Source organism: Homo sapiens, chromosome 20, assembly GCF_000001405.40.
Source record: "Homo sapiens chromosome 20, GRCh38.p14 Primary Assembly".
NCBI classification, from domain to species: Eukaryota; Metazoa; Chordata; class Mammalia; order Primates; family Hominidae; genus Homo; species Homo sapiens.
Window position 1 is genome coordinate 45,648,370 of NC_000020.11, and position 21,995 is coordinate 45,670,364.

General features: G+C 39.7%; 1 protein-coding gene across 2 annotated transcripts; it reads right to left on the reverse strand.

Annotated features, from left to right (window-relative positions):
- Positions 1–193: 193 nt before the first annotated feature.
- Positions 194–21,870, reverse strand: WFDC11 (WAP four-disulfide core domain 11). Of its 2 annotated transcripts, none has more exons than NM_147197.2 (5): positions 21,809–21,870; positions 18,719–18,800; positions 2,132–2,282; positions 888–1,030; positions 194–370 (listed from the first exon to the last, which is right to left on the reverse strand). In NM_147197.2, the coding sequence occupies exons 3-5, from the start codon at positions 2,229–2,231 to the stop codon at positions 350–352; spliced, it is 264 nt and encodes an 87-aa protein (NP_671730.1). In that variant the 5' UTR covers positions 2,232–2,282; positions 18,719–18,800; positions 21,809–21,870; the 3' UTR covers positions 194–349. The 2 variants fall into 2 exon arrangements, with proteins under 2 accessions (NP_671730.1, XP_047296036.1); XM_047440080.1 differs by having other exon boundaries at positions 18,719–18,960.
- Between the last annotated feature and the right edge of the window lie 125 nt (positions 21,871–21,995).

The window sequence follows — 21,995 nt, forward strand, 5'->3', positions numbered from 1 at the left end:
CCCACATTAAAAATGGGACAGAAATAAAATTCTGTTCTGTGAAGCCCATGAAATTAGCTTATCAGTTCTAAGCTTATCAGATGGGACAGCAAAAGTTGGAAGGTAGTCTACAATGTAGGAGAGGAACAATACTGGGGATTTGTAATAAGGGTACTCATGGGTGGTGGGATGAGCTGAAAAAAGGCAAGGCCACTACTGGTAAATAAGTTTATTTGTCAAGTGTTTGCTGTTGTCCAGCTCTCAGTAAAAATAGACTGGTGTTCCTAAAAGTAGCCACAGGGTACTACTATGAGACCTCTTAAACATTTCCCAGCCCACACAGGTGGCAGCCTGGTGGGAAGCTACGGTTTTAGTAATCTCCACTGGTTTCCTGTAAAACAAAAAGGTTAGATTTTTAGAGGCTAGAGAACTCTGAGAAACAAGCATTCATTCCCCCTGCTTAATAGTATCCATGTTCACCAGACAATGGGACAAGAATACTTTAACGTAACAACAGGAGTTGTCCACTTCTGAGTAGGTGAGGTATTGGACAAAAAAAGGTGGAGACTTTGGGCCTGGCTGAGCCAAATGGCCCATGGGAAAGTCTGACTATGGAAGCAGTGGTTAGAAATCTGGACAAATTTAGGAAAAATAGCAAACTATGGTGTAATACAAAGAAGACAACACAGACAGGTATTGATTATATAATGAAAGAAACAATGGGGTCTAAGCTGGTGTCTTGATTTACTCGCCAGTGAATTGCTTTCCAAGTTAAAGGGACATTGTCTTCTGTTATTTTTGTACCTAGAATTTGGGGTACCTCAGTCTTCTGTTTAGGAATAACAGCCTCCGAGAAGGGAATGAGAATCAGTGAAGATATACACCCAAGCAAACATCTCCCAACTCACGACGTTTATCCAGCAGATGTTTCCACAATAGGTCCAGCAGCATGTGTAATTTTTGTCTTTACATCTAAAGGCTTTAGAACACTTATTGGTACATTCTTTGACATTTGGCTTTCCCCAGCATTCTTCAAGTAACAATTCCTTCCCTGAAATTGAGATGAGATGGTCAAAGGTTGATGGTATGTTTCAGCCAAGAGCGGAAAGAAAGGCCTTTCATACGTTTAACAGTTCCTCCTGGAATCTGGGCCCCAAATTCCAACCAAGATATCTATTTGCCTTTTAAGGGAATTGCCTTCATGAGCCTCCTCAAATTCCTGTCATTATACATTCACTGACCCTATTGCATCTTCACTGACTTCTTTTCCTTCTCGACCTCTGCAGGCTTTACCAGTGTTGCAGGCCTCTGGGCCCTCTCTGAGCATCCCAACGATAAAACTCAGTCAACCCGGAGCATTCATGTAACCTCCTATAAAATCTGCATTTACATAACAGGAGATCTCAGGGCCCGGCATATCTTGTAGCCTCATTGCAATGCCTATTTCACAGAGTGGGGAGCTAGGCCAGGTCAAGTAAGAAACAGATTCTCTCCCTTTTTCTTTCCCTACTTGCTGACTCTGTGTTTAATAACTCAGCCTCTCTTCAAATTCTTATCTCTCTCACTCAGTTTTCTTAGCCCCTCTATTCACCCCATTTTCTCATCATATGACCCCCAAGGTTGCCCCACTAAGAAGGGATCTCAAGCCTCTTTCCTAACTTTTCACATTCTGAAAGCCTTGCCACTGAAACTAAGGGTATGTATTAAGAAATGCCCATTTGGTACTCATATGACAAAGTATATGCAGCTAGGGCACAGGGATACCAGTATAGAGCTACAGGATTAGCTCTATACTGACATCTGACCCTCAAAGACAGCCTAACATTGGAAAATATTTTTATGTTTATAGCTTATGGTATATATACACACACACACACACACATGTGTTTGTATATATATAGAGAGAGAGAGAGAGAGACAGAGAGAGAGAGATAGACAGATATTGCTATTTTAAAGGTTAAAAGAGGAAGCATTGAAGGACCTCAGCTTAGGGATTTCTTGAATCTCTGTGCATACAAAATTGTCATTCTCTGATGGGTGATACTACGAAGGTGGGTCCTGAGTCAGATACAGCGGACAATGAAACCCCCTCCCTTGTTCAGAAACAAGCTCATCCCCCTCCTGTGGCCCCTAATCCAGCCTCACCACCTACTGTCATATCTTTTCTTCCTCATTTCTCCCAGCACAGACAGTAGCACCGTACAGAAGAATGTCATGAGCATGGGTATCCAGAGCTTCATGAGGCTGACCATATGTGTCTGAATATGTGTTGTCAGAAGGATTATTTTTCTTCCCAGTCGCTGCTAGAGATCAAGACATATAAATAGGGAAAGAGAGGTGTGAAGCAAGAGAAAGTGCTTGTCGAATTTCTTCATTCTTTATCTTCTCACTATTCCCCCTAGGCCTCTGCCTACCCAACAACTGGCACACCTAAGCTGAGCGTTGGCTTTGCCAAAAGGAATCCCTCCATCTCACACCTCATGTTTTCCTTTTGCTGGAAAAAAAATATAATGTGTTGCCTTATTTTGATTAAAACATAATTCAAATTCAGCTTACAAAAAAATTTTTTTAAATCGTTTATTTTAGGTTTGGGGTACATGTGAAGGTTTGTTACACAGGAAAACTTGTATCATGAGAGTTTGTTGTACAGATTATTTCATCACCCAGGTATTAAGCCCAGTACCCAACAGTCATCTTTTCTGCTCCTCTCCCTCCTTCCACCCTTCACCCTCAAGTAGACCCCAGTGTTGGTTGTTCCTTCTTTGTATTCATGAGTTCTCATCATTTAGCTCCCACTTATAAGTGAGAACATGCAGTATTTGGTTTGAACAAAATTCTTTTTGAAAATGTATTCAACATTTATTGAACACCTACTATGTGCCCAGCACTATTATACACCATATATATAGAGAGGGTCCTTAACTTATGATGGTTTGACATACAACTTTTCAACTTTATGATGGTGCAAAAGGCAATATACATCCAGTACAAATCGTACTTTCAGTACCCATCAACCATTCTGGAGGGGTTTTTTTTGTTTTGTTTGTTTGTTTGTTTTTGTTGTTGCATAATATTCCATTCTGTGAATATGTCACACAATATTTATTCATTTTCATGAAAATGAACATTTAGGGGCTGAATAGGAACAGCTCCAGTCTACAGCTCCCAGCGTGAGCGACACAGAAGACAGGTGATTTCTGCATTTCCAGCTGAGGTACCGGGTTCATCTCACTGGGGAGTGTCAGAAAGTGGGTGCAGCACACCGAGCATGAGCCAAAGCAGGGCAAGGCATTGCCTCACCTGGGAAGTGCAAAGGGTCAGGGAATTCCCTTTCCTAGTCAAAGAAAGGGGTGACAGACGGCACCTGGAAAATCGGGTCACTCCGACCCTAATACTGCGCTTTTCCAACAGTCTTAGCAAATGGCACACCAGGAGATTATATCCCATGCATGGCTCAGAGGGTCCTATGACCACGGAGCCTCACACATTGCTAGTACAGCAGTCTGAGATAAAACTGCAAGGCGGCAGCGAGGCTGGGGGAGGGGCACCCTCCATTGCCGAGGTTTGAGTAGGTAAACAAAGCAGCCAGGAAACATGAACTGGGTGGAGGCTACCACAGCTCAAGAGGCCTGCCTGCCTCTGTAGACTCCACCTCTGGGGGAGGGCATTGCCAAACAAAAGGCAGCAGAATCCTCTACAGACTTAAATGTCCCTGTATGACAGCTTTGAAGAGAGTAGTGTTTCTCCCAGCACGCAGCTGGAGATCTGAGAACAGACAGACTGCCTTCTCAAGTGGGTCCCTGACCCCCGAGTAGCCTAACTGGGAGGCACTCCCCAGTAGGGCAGACTGACACCTCACACAGCTGGGTACTCCTCTGAGACAAAACTTCCAGAGGAACGATCAGGCAGCAACATTTGCTGTTCACCAATCTCCGCTGTTGTGCAGCCTCCACTGCTGATACCCAGGCAAACAGGGTCTGGAGTGGACCTCGAGCAAACTCCAATAGACCTGCAGCTGAGGGTCCTGACTGTTAGAAGGAAAACTAACAAACAGAAAGGACATCCACACCAAAACCCCAACTGTACGTCACCATCATCAAAGACCAAAGGTAGATAAAACCACAAAGATGGGGGAAAAACAGAGCAGAAAAACTGGAAACTCTAAAAATCAGAGTGCCTCTCCTCCTCCAAAGGAAGACAGCTCCTCACCAGCAATGGAACAAAGCTGGATGGAGAATGACTTTGATGAGTTGAGAGAAGGCTTCAGACGATCAAACTACTCTGAGCTAAAGGAGGAAGTTCGAACCCATGGCAAAGAATTTAAAAACCTTGAAAAAAAATTAGACGAATGGCCAACTAGAATAACCAATGCAGAGAAGTCCTTAAAGGAATTCTGATGGAGCTGAAAACCAAGGCATGAGAACTATGTGACAAATGCACAAGCCTCAGTAGCCAATTCGATCAACTGGAAGAAAGGGTATCAGTGATGGAAGATGAAATGAATGAAATGAAGCGAGAAGAGAAGTTTAGAGAAAAAAGAATAAAAACAAATGAACAAAGCCTCCAAGAAATATGGGACTATGTGAAAAGACCAAATCTTCGTCTGATTGGTGTACCTGAAAGTGACAGGGAGAATGGAACCAAGGTGGAAAACACTCTGCAGGATATTATCCAGGAGAACTTCCCCAATCTAGCAAGGCAGGCCAACATTCAAATTCAGGAAATAGAATGCCACAAAGATACTCCTCGAGAAGAGTAACTCCAAGACACATAATTGTCAGATTCACCAAAGTTGAAATCAAGGAAAAAATGTTAAGGGCAGCAAGAGAGAAAGGTCGGGTTACCCACAAAGGGAAGCCCATCAGACTAACAGTGGATCTCTCGGCAGAAACTCTACAAGCCAGAAGAGAGTGGGGGCCAATATTCAACATTCTTAAAGAAAAGAGTTTTCAACCCAGAATTTCATATCCAGCCAAACTAAGCTTCATAAGTGAAGGAGAAATAAAATACTTTATAGACAAGCAAATGCTGAGAGATTTTATAACCACCAGGCCTGCCCTACAAGAAGAGCTCCTGAAGGAAGCACTAAACATGGAAAGGAACAATTGGTACCAGCCACTTGAAAAACATGCCAAATTGTAAAGACCATCGAGACTAGGAAGAAACTGCATCAACTAACAAGCAAAATAACAGCTAACATCATAATGACAGGATCAAATTCACACATAACCATATTAACCTTAAATGTAAATGGGCTAAATGCTCCAATTAAAAGACACAGACTGGCAAATTGGATAAAGAGTCAAGACCCATCAGTGTGTTGTATTCAGGAAACCCATCTCACATGCAGAGACACACATACGCTCAAAATAAAGGGATGGAGGAAGATCCACCAAGCAAATGGAAAACAAAAAAAGTCAGGGGTTGCAATCCTAGTCTCTGATAAAACAGACTTTAAACCAACAAAGATCAAAAGAGGCAAAGAAGGCCATTACATAATGGTAAAGGGATCAATTCAACAAGAAGAGCTAACTATCCTAAATATATATGCACCCAAAACAGGAGCACCCAGATTCATAAAGCAAGTCCTGAGTGACCTACAAAGAGACTTAGACTCCCACACAATAATAATGGGAGACTTTCACACCCCACTGTCAACATTAGACAGACCAACAAGACAGAAAGTTAACAAGGATTTCCAGGAATTGAACTCAGCTCTGCACCAAGAGGACCTAATAGACATCTACAGAACTCTCCACCCCAAATCAACAGAATATACATTCTTCTCAGCACCACACTGCACTTATTCCAAAATTGACCACATAGTTGGAAGTAAAGCACTCCTCAGCAAATGTAAAAGAACAGAAATTATAACAAACTGTCTCTCAGACCACAGTGCAATCAAACTAGAACTCAGGATTAAGAAACTCACTCAAAACCACTCAAATACTTGGAAACTGAACAACCTGCTCCTGAATGACTACTGGGTACATAACAAAATGAAGGCAGAAATAAAGATGTTCTTTGAAACCAATGAGAACAAAGACACAACATACCAGAATCTCTGGGACACATTCAAAGCAGTGTGTAGAGGGAAATTTATGACACTAAATGCCCACAAGAGAGAGCAGGAAAGATCTAAAACTGACACCCTAACATCACAATTAAAAGAACTAGAGAAGCAAGAGCAAACAAATTCAAAAGCTAGCAGAAGGCAAGAAATAACTAAGATCAGAAAGGAACTGAAGGAAATAGAGACATAAAAAACCCTTCAAAAAATCAATGAATCCAGGAGCTGGTTTTTTGAAAAGATCAACAAAACTGATAGACTGCTAGCAAGACTAATAAAGAAGCAAAGAGAGAAGAATCAAATAGATGCAATAAAAAATGATAAAGGGGATATCAACACCGATCCCACAGAAATACAAACTACCATCAGAGAATACTAGAAACACCTCTATGCAAGTAAACTAGAAAATCTAGAAGAAAGGCATAAATTCCTTGACACCTACACCCTCCCAAGACTAAACCAGGAAGAAGTTGAATCGCTGAATAGACCAAAAATGGGCTCTGAAATAGAGGCAATAATTAATAGCTTACCAATCAAAAAAAGTCCAGGACCAGATGGATTCACAGCCAAATTCTACCAGAGGTACAAGGAGAAGCTGGTACCATTCCTTCTGAAAGCATTCCAATCAATAGAAAAAGAGGGAATCCTCCCTAACCCATTTTATGAGGCCAGCATCATCCTGATACCAAAGGCTGGCAGAGACACTACCATAAAAGATAATTTTAGACCAATATCCCTGATGAACATTGGTGCAGAAATCCTCAATAAAATACTGGCAAACTGAATCCAGCAGCACATCAAAAAGCTTATCCACCATGATCAAGTGGGCTTCATCCCTGGGATGCAAGGCTGGTTCAACATATGCAAATCAATAAACATAATCCAGCATATAAACATAACCAACGACAAAAACCATATGATTATCTCAATGGAGGCAGAAAAGGCCTTTGACAAAATTCAACAACCCTTCATGCTAGAAACTCTCAATAAATTAGGTATTGATGGGATGTATCTCAAAATAATAAGAGCTATCTATGACAAATGCACAGCCAATATCATACTGAAGGGGCAAAAACTGGAAGCATTCCCTTTGAAAACTGGCACAAGACAGGAATGCCCTCTCTCACCACTCCTATTCAACATAGTGTTGGAAGTTCTGGCCAGGGCAATCAGGCAGGAAAAGGAAATAAATGGTATTCAGTTAGGAAAAGAGGAAGTCAAATTGTCCCTGTTTGCAGATGACATGATTGTATATCTAGAAAACCCTATTGTCTCAGCCCAAAATCTCCTTAAGCTGATAAGCAACTTCAGCAAAGTTTCAGAATACAAAATCAGTATTCAAAAATCACAAGCATTCTTATACACCAATAACAGACAAACAGAGAGCCAAATCATGAGTGAACTCCCATTCACAATAGCTTCAAAAAGAATAAAATACCGAGGAATCCAACTTACAATGGACATGAAGGACCTCTTCAAGGAGAACTACAAACCACTGCTCAATGAAATAAAAGAGGATACAAACAAATGGAATAACATTCCATGCTCATGGCTAGGAAGAATCAATATCGAGAAAATGGCCATACTGCCCAAGGTAAATTATAGATTCAATGCCATCCACATCAAGCTACCAATGACTTTCTTCACAGAATTGGGAAAAACTACTTTAAAGTTCATATGGAACCAAAAAAGAGCCCACATCGCCAAGTCAATCCTAAACCAAAAGAACAAAGCTGGAGGCATCACGTTACCTGACTTCAAATTATACTACAAGCCTACAGTAACCAAAACAGCATAGTACTGGTAAAAAAAAACAGAGATATAGACGAATGGAACAGAACAGAGGGCTCAGAAATAACACCACACATCTACAACCATCTGATCTTTGACAAACCTGAGAAAAACAAGCAATGGGGAAAGGATTCCCTATTTAATAAATGGTGCTGGGAAAACTGGCTAGCCATGTGCAGAAAGCTGAAACTAGATCCTTTCCTTACACCTTATACAAAAATTAATTCAAGATGGATTAAAGACTTAAATGTTAGATGTAAAACCATAAAAACCCTGGAAGAAAACCTAGGCAATACCATTCAGGACATAGGCATGGGCAAGGACTTCATGACTAAAACACCAAAAGCAATGGCAACAAAAGCCAAAATAGACAAGTGGGATCTAATTAATCTAAAGAGCTTCTGCACAGCAAAGGAAACTACCATCAGAGTGAACAGGCAACCTACAGAACGGGAGAAAATTTTTGCAATCTACCCATCTGACAAAGGGCTAATATCCAGAATCTACAAAGAACTCAAACAAATTTACAAGAAAAAACCAAACCCATCAAAGAGTGGGCAAAGGATATGAACAGACACTTCTCAAAAGAAGACATTTATGCAGCCAAAAGACACATGAAAAGATGCTCATCACCACTGGCCATCAGAGAAATGCAAGTCAAAACCACAATGGGATACCATCTCACACCAGTTAGAATGGAGATCATTAAAAAGTCCAGAAACAACAGGTGCTGGAGAGGATGTGGAGAAATAGGAACACTTTTACACTGTTGGTGGGACTGTAAACTAGTTCAACCATTGTGGAAGTCAGTGTGGAGATTCCTCAAGGATCTAGAACTAGAAATACCATTTGACCCAGCCATCCCATTACTGGGTATATACCCAAAGGATTATAAATCATGCTGCTATAAAGACACATGCACACGTATGTTTATTGAGGCACTATTCACAATAGCAAGGACTTGGAACCAAGCCAAATGTCCAACAATGGTAGACTGAATTAAGAAAATGTGGCACATATACACCATGGAATACTATGCAGCCATGAAAAAGGATGAGTTCATGTCCTTTGTAGGGACATGGATGAAGCTAGAAACCATCATTCTCAGCAAACTATCGCAAGGACAAAAAACCAAACACTGCGTGTTCTCACTCATAGGTGGGAATTGAACCATGAGAACACATGGACACAGGAAGGGGAACATCACACACCAGGGCCTGTTGTGGGGTGGGGGGAGGGGGGAGGGATAGCATTTGGAGACATACCTAATGTTAAATGACGAGTTACTGGGTGCAGCACACCAATATGGCACATGTATACATGTGTAACTAACCTGCACGTTGTGCACATGTACCCTAAAACTTAAAGTATAATAAAAAGAAAATGAACATTTAGGTTGTCTGCAGTGGTTTCACTGTTGAAACTATAAAACTAAAGCAGCCATGAACAAGTACACTATTCTTCTGCACATGAATGAGAATTGTTCCCCCTTCCATCCATGCTTAATTTTTCTCTTTAATGTTTTTTATTTTCAGTACAGTATTAAATACATTACATGAGCTATTCAACACTTTATTATAAAATAAGCTTTGTGTTAGATAATTTCGCCCAACAGTAAGCTAATGTTAAGTGTTCTGAGCACATTTAAAGTGTTAGCTTACAAAATTCTTAAAACATAAAAAAGCACATAGAACATAGTGAAAATATTTCTAGCAATTCCACTATATCGATGTATAATATTCTATCTTTCATATGTGCATAGATATAAATATAGATTTTTTATAAAACAAAATTATATAAGCTTGCTGTTATATAATGACTTTTTGAAAACTATTAAGATATAACTGACATATAAAAAACTATTTATAGGACATATTTAATGTATACAACTACAATGAGTTTGAAGACAAGTATACACCCATGTAATCATCATCACAATCTAGGCCATAAACATATCCATCACCTCCAATAGTTTCCACTGGCCTTTTTACTTATTATTTGGTGTGTGTGTGTGTGCAATAAAAATAAGACCTATCATCTTAACAAATTTTTAAGTTTGCAATACAGTATTGCTAACTAAGGGCACTATGCTATACAACAAGTCTCTGAGATGTATCCATCTTGTATAACTGAAATTTTGTGCCCTTTGACTAATATCTTCAATCTCTCTGCTTGTTATTGGTCTGTTCAGGGTATCTAATTCTTCCTGATTTAAGTTAGGAGGGTTGTATTTTTCCAGGAATTTATCCATCTCTTCTAGGTTTTCTAGTGTATGTGTGTAAAGGTGTTCATAGTAGCGTTACATGATCGTTTGTATATCTGTGGTGTCAGTTGTAATATCTCCCATTTCATTTCTTAATGAGCTTATTTGGATTTTCTCTCTTATTTTCTCGGTTAATCTTGCTAATGGTATATCAATTTTATTTATCTTTTCAAAGAACCAGCTTTTTGTTTCATTTATCTTTTGTATTTTTTTGTTTCAATTTCATTTAATTCTGCTCTGATCTTGGTTATTTTCTTTTTTTATCACACTTTAAGTTCTGGAGTACATGTGCAGAATGTGCAGGTTTGTTATATAGGTATACACGTGCCATGGTGATTTGCTGTACCCATCAACCCGTCATCTACATTAGGTATTTCTCCTAATGCTATCCCTCCCCCACATCCCCCGCCGACAGGCCCAGGTGTGTGATGCCCACCCCCCCGTCCATGTGTTCTCATTGTTGAACTTCCACTTATGAGAACATGCAGTGTTTGGTTTTCTGTCCTTGTGTTAGTTTGCTGAGAATGATGGTTTCCAGCTTCATCCATGTCCCTACAAAGGACATGAACTCATCCCTTTTTATGACTGCATAGTATTCCATGGTGTATATGTGCCACATTTTCTTAATCCAGTCTATCATTGATGGACATTTGGGTTGGTTCCAAGTCTTTGCTATTGTAAATAGTGCTGCAATAAACATACATGTGCATGTGTCTTTATAGCAGCATGATTTATAATCCTTTGGGTGTATACCCAGTAATGGGATTGCTGGGACAAATGATATTTCTAGTTCTAGATCCTTGAGGAATCACCACACTGTCTTCCACAAGGGTTGAACTAGTTTACAGTCCCACCAACAGTGTAAAAGTGTTCCATTTCTCCACATCCTCTCTAGCACCTGTTTTTTCCTGACTTTTTAATGATTGCCATTCTAACTGGCGTGAGATGGTATCTCATTGTGGTTTTGATTTGCATTTCTCTAATGACCAGTGATGACGAGCTTTTTTTCATATGTTTGTTGGCTGCATAAACGTCTTCTTCTGAGAAGTGTCTGTTCATATCCTTCGCCTACTTTTTGATGGGGTTGTTTGGTTTTTTTCTTGTAAATGTGTTTAAGTTCTTTGTAGATTCTGGATATTGGCCCTTTGTCAGACGGATAGATTGCAACATTTTTCTCCGATTCTGTAGGTTGCCTGTTCACTCTGATGACAGTTTCTTTTGCTGTGCAGAAGCTCTTTAGTTTAATTAGATCCCATTTGTCAATTTTGGCTTTTGCTGCCATTGCTTTTGGTGTTTTAGTCATGAAGCCTTTGCTCATCCCTATGTCCTGAATGGTACTGTCTAGGTTTTCTTCTAGGGTTTTTATGGTTTTAGGTCTTGTGTTTAAGTCTTTAATCCATCTCGAGTTGATTTTTGTATAAGGTTAAGAAAAGGATCCAGTTTCAACCTCCTGCATATGGCTGGCCAGTTTTCCCAGCACCATTTATTAAATAGGGAATGCTTTCCCTATTGCTTGCTTTTTTCAGCTTTGTCAAAGATCAGATGGTTGTAGATGTGTGGTGTTATTTCTAAGGTTTCTTCTGCTGGGTTTGGATTTGGTTCTTGTTTCTCTAGTCCCTTGAGCTGTGACATTAGCATGTCAATTTGTGCTCTTTCAGTCTTTTTGATGTAGGCATTTAGGGGTATGAACTTTCCTGTTAGCACTGCCTTTGCTTTATCCCAGAGGTTTTGATAGGTTGTGTCACTATTGTTGTTAAGTTCGAATAATTTTTTAATTTCCATCTTGATTTCATTTTTGACCCAATGATCATTCAGGAACAGGTTATTTAATTTCCATATATTTGCATGGTTTTGTAGCTGTTTTTGGAATTGATTTCCAGTTTTATTCCACTGTGGTATGAGAGAGTGCTTGATATAATTTCAATTTCCTTTTTTTGAAATTTTATTTTATTATTATTATACTTTAAGTTTTAGGGTACATGTGCACAATGTGCAGGTTAGTTACATATGTATACATGTGCCATGCTGGTGTGCTTCACCCATTCACTCGTCATTTAGCATTAGGTATATCTCCCAATGCTATCCCTCCCGCCTCTCCCCACCCCACAACAGTCCCCAGAGTGTGATGTTCCCCTTTCTGTGTCCATGTGTTCTCATTGTTCAATTCCCACCTATGAGTGAGAATACGCGGTGTTTGGTTTTTTTGTTCTTGTGATGGTTTACTGAGAATGATGATTTCCAATTTCACCCATGTCCCTACAAAGGACATGAACTCACCATTTTTTATGGCTGCATAGTATTCCATGGTGTATATGTGCCACATTTTCTTAATCCAGTCTATCATTGTTGGACATTTGGCTCGGTTCCAAGTCTTTGCTATTGTGAATAGTGCCTCAATAAACATACGTGTGCATGTGTCTTTATAGCAGCATGACTTATATTCCTTTGGGTATATACCCAGTAATGGGATGGCTGGGTCAAATGGTATTTCTAGTTCTAGATCCTTGAGGAATCTCCACACTGACTTCCACAATGGTTGAACTAGTTTACAGTCCCACCAACAGTGTAAAAGTGTTCCTATTTCTCCACATCCTCTCCAGCACCTATTGTTTCCTGACTTTTTAATGATTGCCATTCTAACTGGTGTGAGATGGTATCCCATTGTGGTTTTGATTTGCATTTCTCTGATGGCCAGTGATGGTGAGCATTTTTTCATGTGTTTTTTGGCTGCATAAATGTCTTCTTTTGAGAAGTGTCTGTTCATGTCCTTCACCCACTTTTTTATGGGGTTGTTTGTTTTTTTCTTGTAAATTTGTTTGAGTTCTTTATAGATTCTGGATATTAGCCCTTTGTCAGATGAGTAGGTTGCGAAAATTTTCTCCCATTTTGTAGGTTGCCTGTTCACTCTGATGGTAGTTTCTTTTGCTGTGCAGAAGCTCTTTAGTTTAATTAGATCCCATTTGTCAATTTTGGCTTTTGTTGCCATTGCTTTTGGCGTTTTAGACATGAAGTCCTTGCCCACGCCTATGTCCTGAATGGCAATGCCTAGGTTTTCTTCTAGGGTTTTTATGGTTTTAGGTATAACGTTTAAGTCTTTAATCCATCTTGAATTAATTTTTGTATACGGTGTAAGGAAGGGATCCAGTTTCAGCTTTCTACATATGGCTAGCCAGTTTTCCCAGCACCATTTATTAAATAGGGAATCCTTTCCCCATTGCTTGTTTTTCTCAGGTTTGTCAAAGATCAGATAGTTGTAGATATGCGGCGTTATTACTGAGGGCTCTGTTCTGTTCCATTGATCTATATCTCCGTTTTGGTACCAGTACCATGCTGTTTTGGTTACTGTAGCCTTGTAGTATAGTTTGAAGTCAGGTAGTGTGATGCCTCCAGCTTTGTTCTTTTGGCTTAGGATTGTCTTGGTGATGCGGGCTCTTTTTTGGTTCCATATGAACTTTAAAGTAGTTTTTCCCAATTCTGTGAAGAAAGTCATTGGTAGCTTGATGTGGATGGCATTGAATCTATAAATTACCTTGGACAGTATGGCCATTTTCATGATATTGATTCTTCCTAGCCATGAGCATGGAATGTTCTTCCATTTGTTTGTATCTTCTTTTATTTCATTGAGCAGTGATTTGTGGTTCTCCTTGAAGAGGTCCTTCACGTCCCTTGTAAGTTGGATACCTAGGTATTTTATTCTCTTTGAAGCAATTGTGAATGGGAGTTCACTCATGATTTGGCTCTCTGTTTGTCTGTTATTGGTGTATAAGAATGCTTGTGATTTTTGAACATTGATTTTGTATCCTGAAACTTTGCTGAAGTTGCTTATCAGCTTAAGGAGATTTTGGGCTGAGACAATGGGGTTTTCTAGATATGCAATCATGTCATCTGCAAACAGGGACAATTTGACTTCGTCTTTTCCTAATTGAATACACTTTATTTCCTTGTCCTGCCTAATTGCCCAGGCCAGAACTTCCAACACTATGTTGAGTAGGAGTGGTGAGAGAGGGCATCCCTGTCTTGTGCCAGTTTTCAAAGGGAATGCTTCCAGTTTTTGCCCATTCAGGATGATATTGGCTGTGGGTTTGTCATAGATAGCTCTTATTATTTTGAGATACGTCCCATCAATAGCAAATTTATTAAAAGTTTTTAGCATGAAGCGTTGTTGAATTTTTGTCAAAGGCCTTTTCTGCATCTATTGAGATAATCATGTGGTTTTTGTCTTTGGTTCTGTTTATGTGATGGATTACGTTTATTGATTTGTGAATGTTGAACCAGCCTTGCATTCCAGGGATGAAGCCAACTTGATCATGGTGGATAAGCTTTTTGATGTGCTGCTGGATTCAGTTTGCCAGTGTTTTATTGAGGATTTTTGCAGCAATGTTCATCAGGGATATTGGTATAAAATTATCTTTTATTGTAGTGTCTCTGCCAGCCTTTGGTATCAGGATGATGCTGGCCTCATAAAATGAGTTAGGGAGGATTCCCTCTTTTTCTATTGATTGGAATAATTTCAGAAGGAACGGTACCAGCTCCTCTTTGTACCTCTGGTAGAATTCGGCTGTGAATCTCTCTGGTCCTGGACTTTTTTTGGTTGGTAGGCTATTAATTATTGCCTCAATTTCAAAGCCTGTTATTAGTATATTCAGAGATTCAACTTCTTCCTGGTTTAGACTTGGGAGGGTGTATGTGTCCAGGAATTTATCCATTTCTTCTACATTTTCTAGTTTATTTGCATAGAGGTGTTTCTAGTATTCTCTGATGGTAGTTTGTATTTCTGTGGGATTGGTGGTGATAGCCCCCCTTTATCATTTTTTATTGCATCTATTTGATTCTTCTCTCTTTTTTTCTTTATTTGTCGCAATGCTAGTGGTCTATCAATTTTGTTAATCTTTTCAAAAAACCAGCTCCTGGATTTATTGATTTCTTGAAGTGTTTTTTTGTGTCTCTAACTCTTTCAGTTCTTCTCTGATCTTAGTTATTTCTTGCCTTCTGCTAGCTTTTGAATTTGTTTGCTCTTGCTTCTCTAGTTACTTTAATTGTGATGTTAGGGTGTTGATTTTAGACCTTCCCTGCTTTCTCTTGTGGGCATTTAGTGCTATAAATTTCCCTCTATGCACTGCTTAAAATGTGTCCCAGAGATTCTGGTACGCTGTGTCTTTGTTCTGATTGGTTTCAAAGAACATCTTTATTTCTGCCTTCATTTTGTTATTTACCTAGTAGTCATTCAGGAGCAGGTTGTTCAGTTTCCATGTAGTTGAGCGGTTTTGAGTGAGTTTCTTAATCTTGAATTCTAATTTGGTTGCACTGTGGTCTGAGAGACAGTTTGTTGTGATTTCTGTTCTTTTACATTTGCTGAGGAGTACTTTACTTCCAATTATGTGGTCAATTTTAGAATAAGTGCGATGTGGTGCTGAGAAGAATGTATATTGTTGATTTGGGTGGAGAGTTTTGTAGATGTCTATTAGGTCTGCTTGGTGCAGAGCTGAGTTCAAGTCCTGGATATCCTTGTTAACCCTCTGTCTCGTTGACCTGTCTAATATTGACAGTGGGGTGTTAAAGTCTCCCATTATTATTGTGTGGGAGTCTAAGTCTCTTTGCAGGTCTCTAAGGACTTGCTTTATGAATCTGGGTGCTCCCGTATTGGGTGCATATATATTTAAGATAGTTAGCTCTTCTTGTTGAATTGATCCCTTTACCATTATGTAATGGCCTTGTCTCTTTTGATCTTTGTTGGTTTAAAGTCTGTTTTATCAGAGACTAGAATTGTGACCCCTGCTTTTTTTTTGCTTTCCATTTGCTTAGTAGATCGGCCTCCATCCCTTTATTTTGAGCCTATGTGTGTCTGTGCACATGAGATGGGTCTCCTGATTATAGCACACTGATGGGTCTTAACTCTTTATCCAATTTGCCAGTCTGCATCTTTTAATTGGGGCATTTAGCCCATTTACATTTAAGGTTAATATTGTGTGTGAATTTGATCCTGTCATTATGATGTTAGCTGGTTATTTTGCCCATTAATTGATGCAGTTTCTTCATAGCCTTCATGGTCTGTACAATTTGGCATGTTTTTGCAGTGGCTGGTACAGATTGTTTCCTTCTACGTTTAGTGCTTCCTTCAGGGCCCTTGTAAGACAGGCCTGGTGGTGACAAAATCTCTCAGCATTTCTTGTCTGTAAAGGATTTTATTTCTCCTTCACTTATGAAGCTTAGTTTGGCTGGATATGAGATTCTGGATTGAAAATTCTTTTCTTTAAGAATGTTGATTATTGGCTCCCACTCTCTTCTGGCTTGCAGGGTTTCTGCCTAGAGATCTGCTGTTAGTCTGATGGGCTTCCCTTTGTGGGTAACCTGACCCTTCTCTCTGGGTGCCCTTAACATTTTTTCCTTCATTTCAACTTTAGTGAATCTAACAATTTGTGTCTTGGGGTTGCTCTTCTCGAGGAGTGTCTTTGTGATGTTCTCGTATTTCCTGAATTTGAATGTTGGCCTGCCTTGCTAGGTTGCAGAAATTCTCCTGGATAACATCCTAAAGAGTGTTTTCCAACTTGGTTCCATTCTTCTCATCACTTTCAGGTACACCAATCAAATGTAGCTTTGGTTTTTTCACATAGTCCCGTATTTCTTGGAGGCTTTGTTCATTTCTTTTTACTCTTTTTTCTCTAACCTTGTCTTTTCACTTTATTTCATTAATTTGATCTTCAATCACTGATACCCTTTCTTCCACTTGATGCATTGGCTATTGAAGCTTGTGCATGCATCACGAAGTTCTCGTGCCATGGTTTTCAGCTCCATCAGGTCATTTAAGGTCTTCTCTACACTGTTTATTCTGGTTAGCCATTCATCTGACTTTTTCTTATGGTTTTTAGCTTCCTTGCAATGGGTTCAAACATCCTCCTTTAGCTCGGAGAAGTTTGTTATTATAGACCTTCTGAAGCCTACTTCTGTCAACTCATCAAAGTCATTCTCTGTCCAGCTTTGTTCCATTGCTGCCGAGGAGCTGCGATCATTTGGAGGAGAAGAGGCACTCTGGTTTTTAGAATTTTAAGCTTTTCTGCTCTGGTTTCTCCCCATCTTTGTGGTTTTATCTACCTTTGGTCTTTGATGTTGGTGACCTACAGATGGGGTTTTGGTGTAGATGTCCTTTTTGTTGACGTTGATGCTATTCCTTTCTGTTTGTTAGTTTTCCTTCTAATAGTCAGGTCCCTCAGCTGCAGGTCTGTTGGAGTTTGCTGGAGGTCCATTCTAGACCCTGTTTGCCTGGGTGTCACCAGCAGAGGCTGCAGAATAGCAAATATTGCTGCCTGATCCTTCCTCTGGAAGCTTCGTCCCAGAGGGGCACTTGGCCATATGAGGTGTCTGTCGGCCCCTACTGGGAAGTGACTCCCAGTTAGGCTACACAGGGGTCAGGGACCCACTTGAGGAGGTAGTCTGTCTGTTCTCAGAGCTCAAACACCATGCTGGGAGAACCACTGCTCTCTTCAGAGCTGTCAGACGGGGACGTTTAGGTCTGCAGGAGTTGTCTGTTGCCTTTTGTTTAGATATGCCCTGCCCACAGTGGTGGTGACTATAGAGGCCTAGGCCTTGCTGAGCTGCGATGGGCTCTGCCTAATTTGAGCTTCCCAGCCACTTTGTTTACCTACTGAAGCCTCAGCAATGATGGACACCCCTCCCCCCGCCAGGCTGCCACCTCGCATTTCGATCTCAGACTGCTGCACTAGCAGTGAGCAAGGCTCCGTGGGTGTGGGACCCGCCAAGCCAGGCCCGGGAGAGAATCTCTTTGTCTGCCAGTTGCTAAGACCTTGGGAAAAGCACAGTATTTGGGTGGGAGTGTCCTGATTTTCCAGGTACCATCTGTCACGGCTTCCCTTGGCTAGTAAAGGGAAATCCCCCAACCCCTTGCCCTTCCCAGGTGAGGCGACACCCCACCCTGCTTCCGCTCACCCTCCATGGGTTGCACCCACTGTCCAACCAGTCCCAGTGAGATGAACCAGGTACCACAGTTGGAAATGCAGAAATCACCCAATCTTCTGCATTGATCACGCTGGGAGCTGCAGACCAGAGCTGTTCCTATTCGGCCATCTTGGAGCCGCCTCCTCCATGAGTATTTCTTATCAACCTGAGCCTTATCTTACATGATCATACTACAGTTATCAACTTTGTTAAATTTAACCTTGATCAAACATACTTTTATCTATTCTATCATGAGTATTAAATTTTATCACTTCACCCAATAATGTTCTTTTTCTTTTATGAAATTCAAATTTTGGAAGAATACAGCCAACCTTTTCTTTGAACTGAATAGTCTTCAATTGGGGTTTATCTGAGATTTTCTTAAGATTAGATATAAGTTATGTATTCTCAATGGGAATAGCATGTAGATGATGCTGTGTCCTTCTCAGGATATCATATATGGAGGCACACAATGTCTATCCATGTTATCTTTCTCTGTCTCAGTTTCTCCATTTGAATAACATAAACAATAATTTATTCCATAGAGGGATAGTGTTGGCATGATGCAGGGGCATGATTTGGGCAGGGAACCCATCCAAGCAAGACAAAGGTGAAAGCTTTTACAGGCTCACACTTCCAGCCCCAGGACCCTGACCCCCACCTACCTTTGAAGATGTTGGAGTTGGAGGTGCTGAAACCTATTTGACTGGTGGCTCTTCTTCCTTGCCTCTAGGAACCATGGAGCCCCTGCACAGTGAGTAGGTGGTGAGCAAAACCAGTCAATTATGCAGATCTTAGTCATGCTTCTGGTTGTGGCAGATCTGTAAGTTCTGTCCCAAACCATAAGTTGGGTACATATAGAACATTGTCCCTGAATTCCTATTCAAGGAGTACTTTCTTCTTTTTGCTGCAGGCAATATAGATAGAGACAGAACACTGTGGACCTGCAGAATCCTCTGCTCCCCTAACACACACACAAGTCTGGCTGATTGTGGACACTCAGACACAAGTCTGGGTGATTGTGGAGTGGAAGGAGGATCTACATATCTATTTTTTTTCTAACATTGTGTGAGGACCTTCATAAAGTCTCATCCATCTTTATATTAATTTCTCCATTGCTAGCATCAGCCTAACACCACCTTATCAGCAATCTCTTGTGACTTTTGTGAGGAAAAGAGAGATCTCTTCCAAGAGGGCTTCGAAAATATCACATAACATGTAGATTTTAAATATATAGACTTAAACTATACTCAAATCCTACATCCCACTTACTCTAGGAAAGTCACTAATCATCTCTGTGCCTCAATTTCCTCATTTTTAAAGTGAGAATAGCAGTACTTTCTTCATAGGATTTTTGGGAGGATTCCATGAGTTATTTTGTGTTAAACACTGAGACCCAATGTCTGGCATATAAGCAGTGCTATGTATGGTTTGCTAAATAAACCAATAAAACACTTATTGAAGTGTTCAGAATCACCCAGTTGGACACCAAATTCACTATGAGTCAAATATTTAACATGTATTAACCAATACTCTCAGTGACCCAGTGAGTTTAGTGCTAAATATTTATATTTTGCCAATGCAGAAACTGAAGCATCGAGGAGCTAAGCAACTTGCCCAAGGCCACACAGCCAATAAGTGGTAGAAACAAGATTTGAAAGGAAGTGAATTCAGAGCCAGGTATGCCAGATGGTGAAGCCCACAGCTTTTCCTGGGCCTCAGAGCCACGATACATCTTGGGCTTATTCCCATCACCAAGGCACTCTCTCTAGATACCCTTACAGTGCTAGCAGAGGGGCATAATGGGAAGGGAAATTTCAGGAGCTGAGCTGACTGTGAGAGGCTCTGAGTAAGTCTTGACTGGGTCTAGGAATATTCCCAGAGTTGTTTGGTTGGGATGAGAAAGTGGGAAAGTGGGAGAGAAGCAAAGCCTGTAGATTGTCCTAACATTTTCTTCTCTAGTTCTATTTCCTTGCCTCTTCCCACTTTACAATATACTCTTGGCCTTGTCCTATTCCTGGGACCCCTCATCAATTTATATCATTTACTTCTCTCCGTAGGAAAAAAAAAAGAAAAAGATTTCTTTTCAAGATGTCATTTTTTGCTCTTGTACTAATAAAAGAGCAACTCATGCTTAGTGCATAAATTTTGTAAAAATATGAAAATGACAATTAAATTTAAAAATAATTGTTAATCTTGTCAACCTATGCTAACATTTGTGCATATATTCTAGTAGACTTTTTCTTATGTACATATATATTTTTATATAGTGGATAATCCTGTGACTATTTTTAAGTTTAACATTTACAATAAATATTTTCCTGTACTCCTAAATATTTTCAAAAATTTCATAGATTGGTAGATTACTCTGCCAATTAATCACCAGTTGTTGACAAGCTTGGTGGTTTCAGTTTTTCCCTATTGTAGAAATTCACTATTAGTTACATAATGATAACTAAATCCTTGAGTATTTATTTATTTATTCCTTGGGAAAGCCAATAAAAGTAGAAATACAGATAATTCAATCTGTGCATAAATATTACCAATTCTCTCTTCATAATGTTTAGGCTATACTTGCACCAACAAAGAAATGGTCTGAAAATGTCAGACCATTTCCTTCATCTTGACCCTGATATAGACATTCAGAGGATTCAGATGGTAGGTCGGAGGAGCCAGCAGGCTATTGACTATTCACAGTTGTCTAGTGTCACAATCACAGGCCTTACACTCATCCGATGTAAACTTAAAACCCATCTTTACAGAGGCAGATACTAAAAAATTAAAATTAAAATTAAAAAACCATCTTTATCATTTGCTAACTCCATGACCTTGGGTAACTCATTTCACTTCTGGAAAACTCCATTAAATCACATGGAAAAATTATAGCACAGGCATACCTCATAGATATTACAGATTCAGTTCCAGGCCACCCTAATAAAGTGAGTCAAACAAATATTTTGGTTTCTCAGTGCATATAAAAGATATGTTTACACTATACTGTGATCTACTAAGTGTGTGACAGCATTATGTATAAAAACAGTGTACATATCTTAATCCAAAAATAGTTTATTGATAGACATCAATACCAAGAGCTCTCAAAACCACACACTTACATGTGCTTGTTAGTACATGCTCCTGTTCCTGAATGACTTTTTGGTAAACAACAAAATTAAGACAGAAATCAAGAAGTTTTTTGAAACTAATAAGAACAAAGATACAACATACCAAAATCTCTGGGACACAATTAAACCAGTGTTGAGAGGAAAGTTTATAGCACTAAATGCCCACATCAAAAAGTTAGAAATATCTCCAATTAACCTAACATCACACCTAGAGGAACTTGAAAAACAAGAGCAAACCAACCCCAAAGCTAGTAGAAGAAAAGAAATAACCAAAATTAGAGCTGAACTGAACAAAATGGAGATAAGGGAAACCATACAAAAGATCCATGAAACCAAAAGTTGGTTCTTTGTAGAATAAATAAGACTGGTAGACCACTAGTTAGACTACTAAAGAAAGAGAAAATCCAGATAAACACAATCAAAAATAACAAAGGGGATATTACCACTGACCCCATAAAAATACAAACAAAAATCAGAGACTATTACAAACACCACTATGCACACAAACTAGAAAACCTACACAAAATTGATAACCTCTTGGAATCATACAAACTCCCAAGATTAAACCAGGATGAAATTGAACAGACCAATAACAAGTACCAAAATTTAATCAGTAATTAAAAAAAAACTTACCAACCAGAAAAGGCCCTGGACCAGATGGATTCACAGCCAAATTCTACCAGACATATAAAGAAGAGCTGGTGCCAATCCTACTGAAATTATTCCAAAAACTTGAGGAGGAGGGACTCCTCCCTAATTCATTCTATGAAGTCAGCATCATTCTGACATCAAAACCTGGCAGAGAGACAACAGAAAAAGA

Bases quoted from the DNA above. Each gene is read 5' to 3' on its own strand.
- WFDC11 (NM_147197.2), bottom strand. From the start codon at position 2,231: ATGGTCAGCCTCATGAAGCTCTGGATACCCATGCTCATGACATTCTTC. The intron at 1,031-2,131 runs GTAGGTGGTGAG...TCTCAATTTCAG, and splicing joins GAGGAAGAAAAGATATGACA to GGAAGGAATTGTTACTTGAA. The intron at 371-887 runs GTGAGTTGGGAG...TTTGTTTTACAG, and splicing joins ACATCTGCTGGATAAACGTC to GAAACCAGTGGAGATTACTA.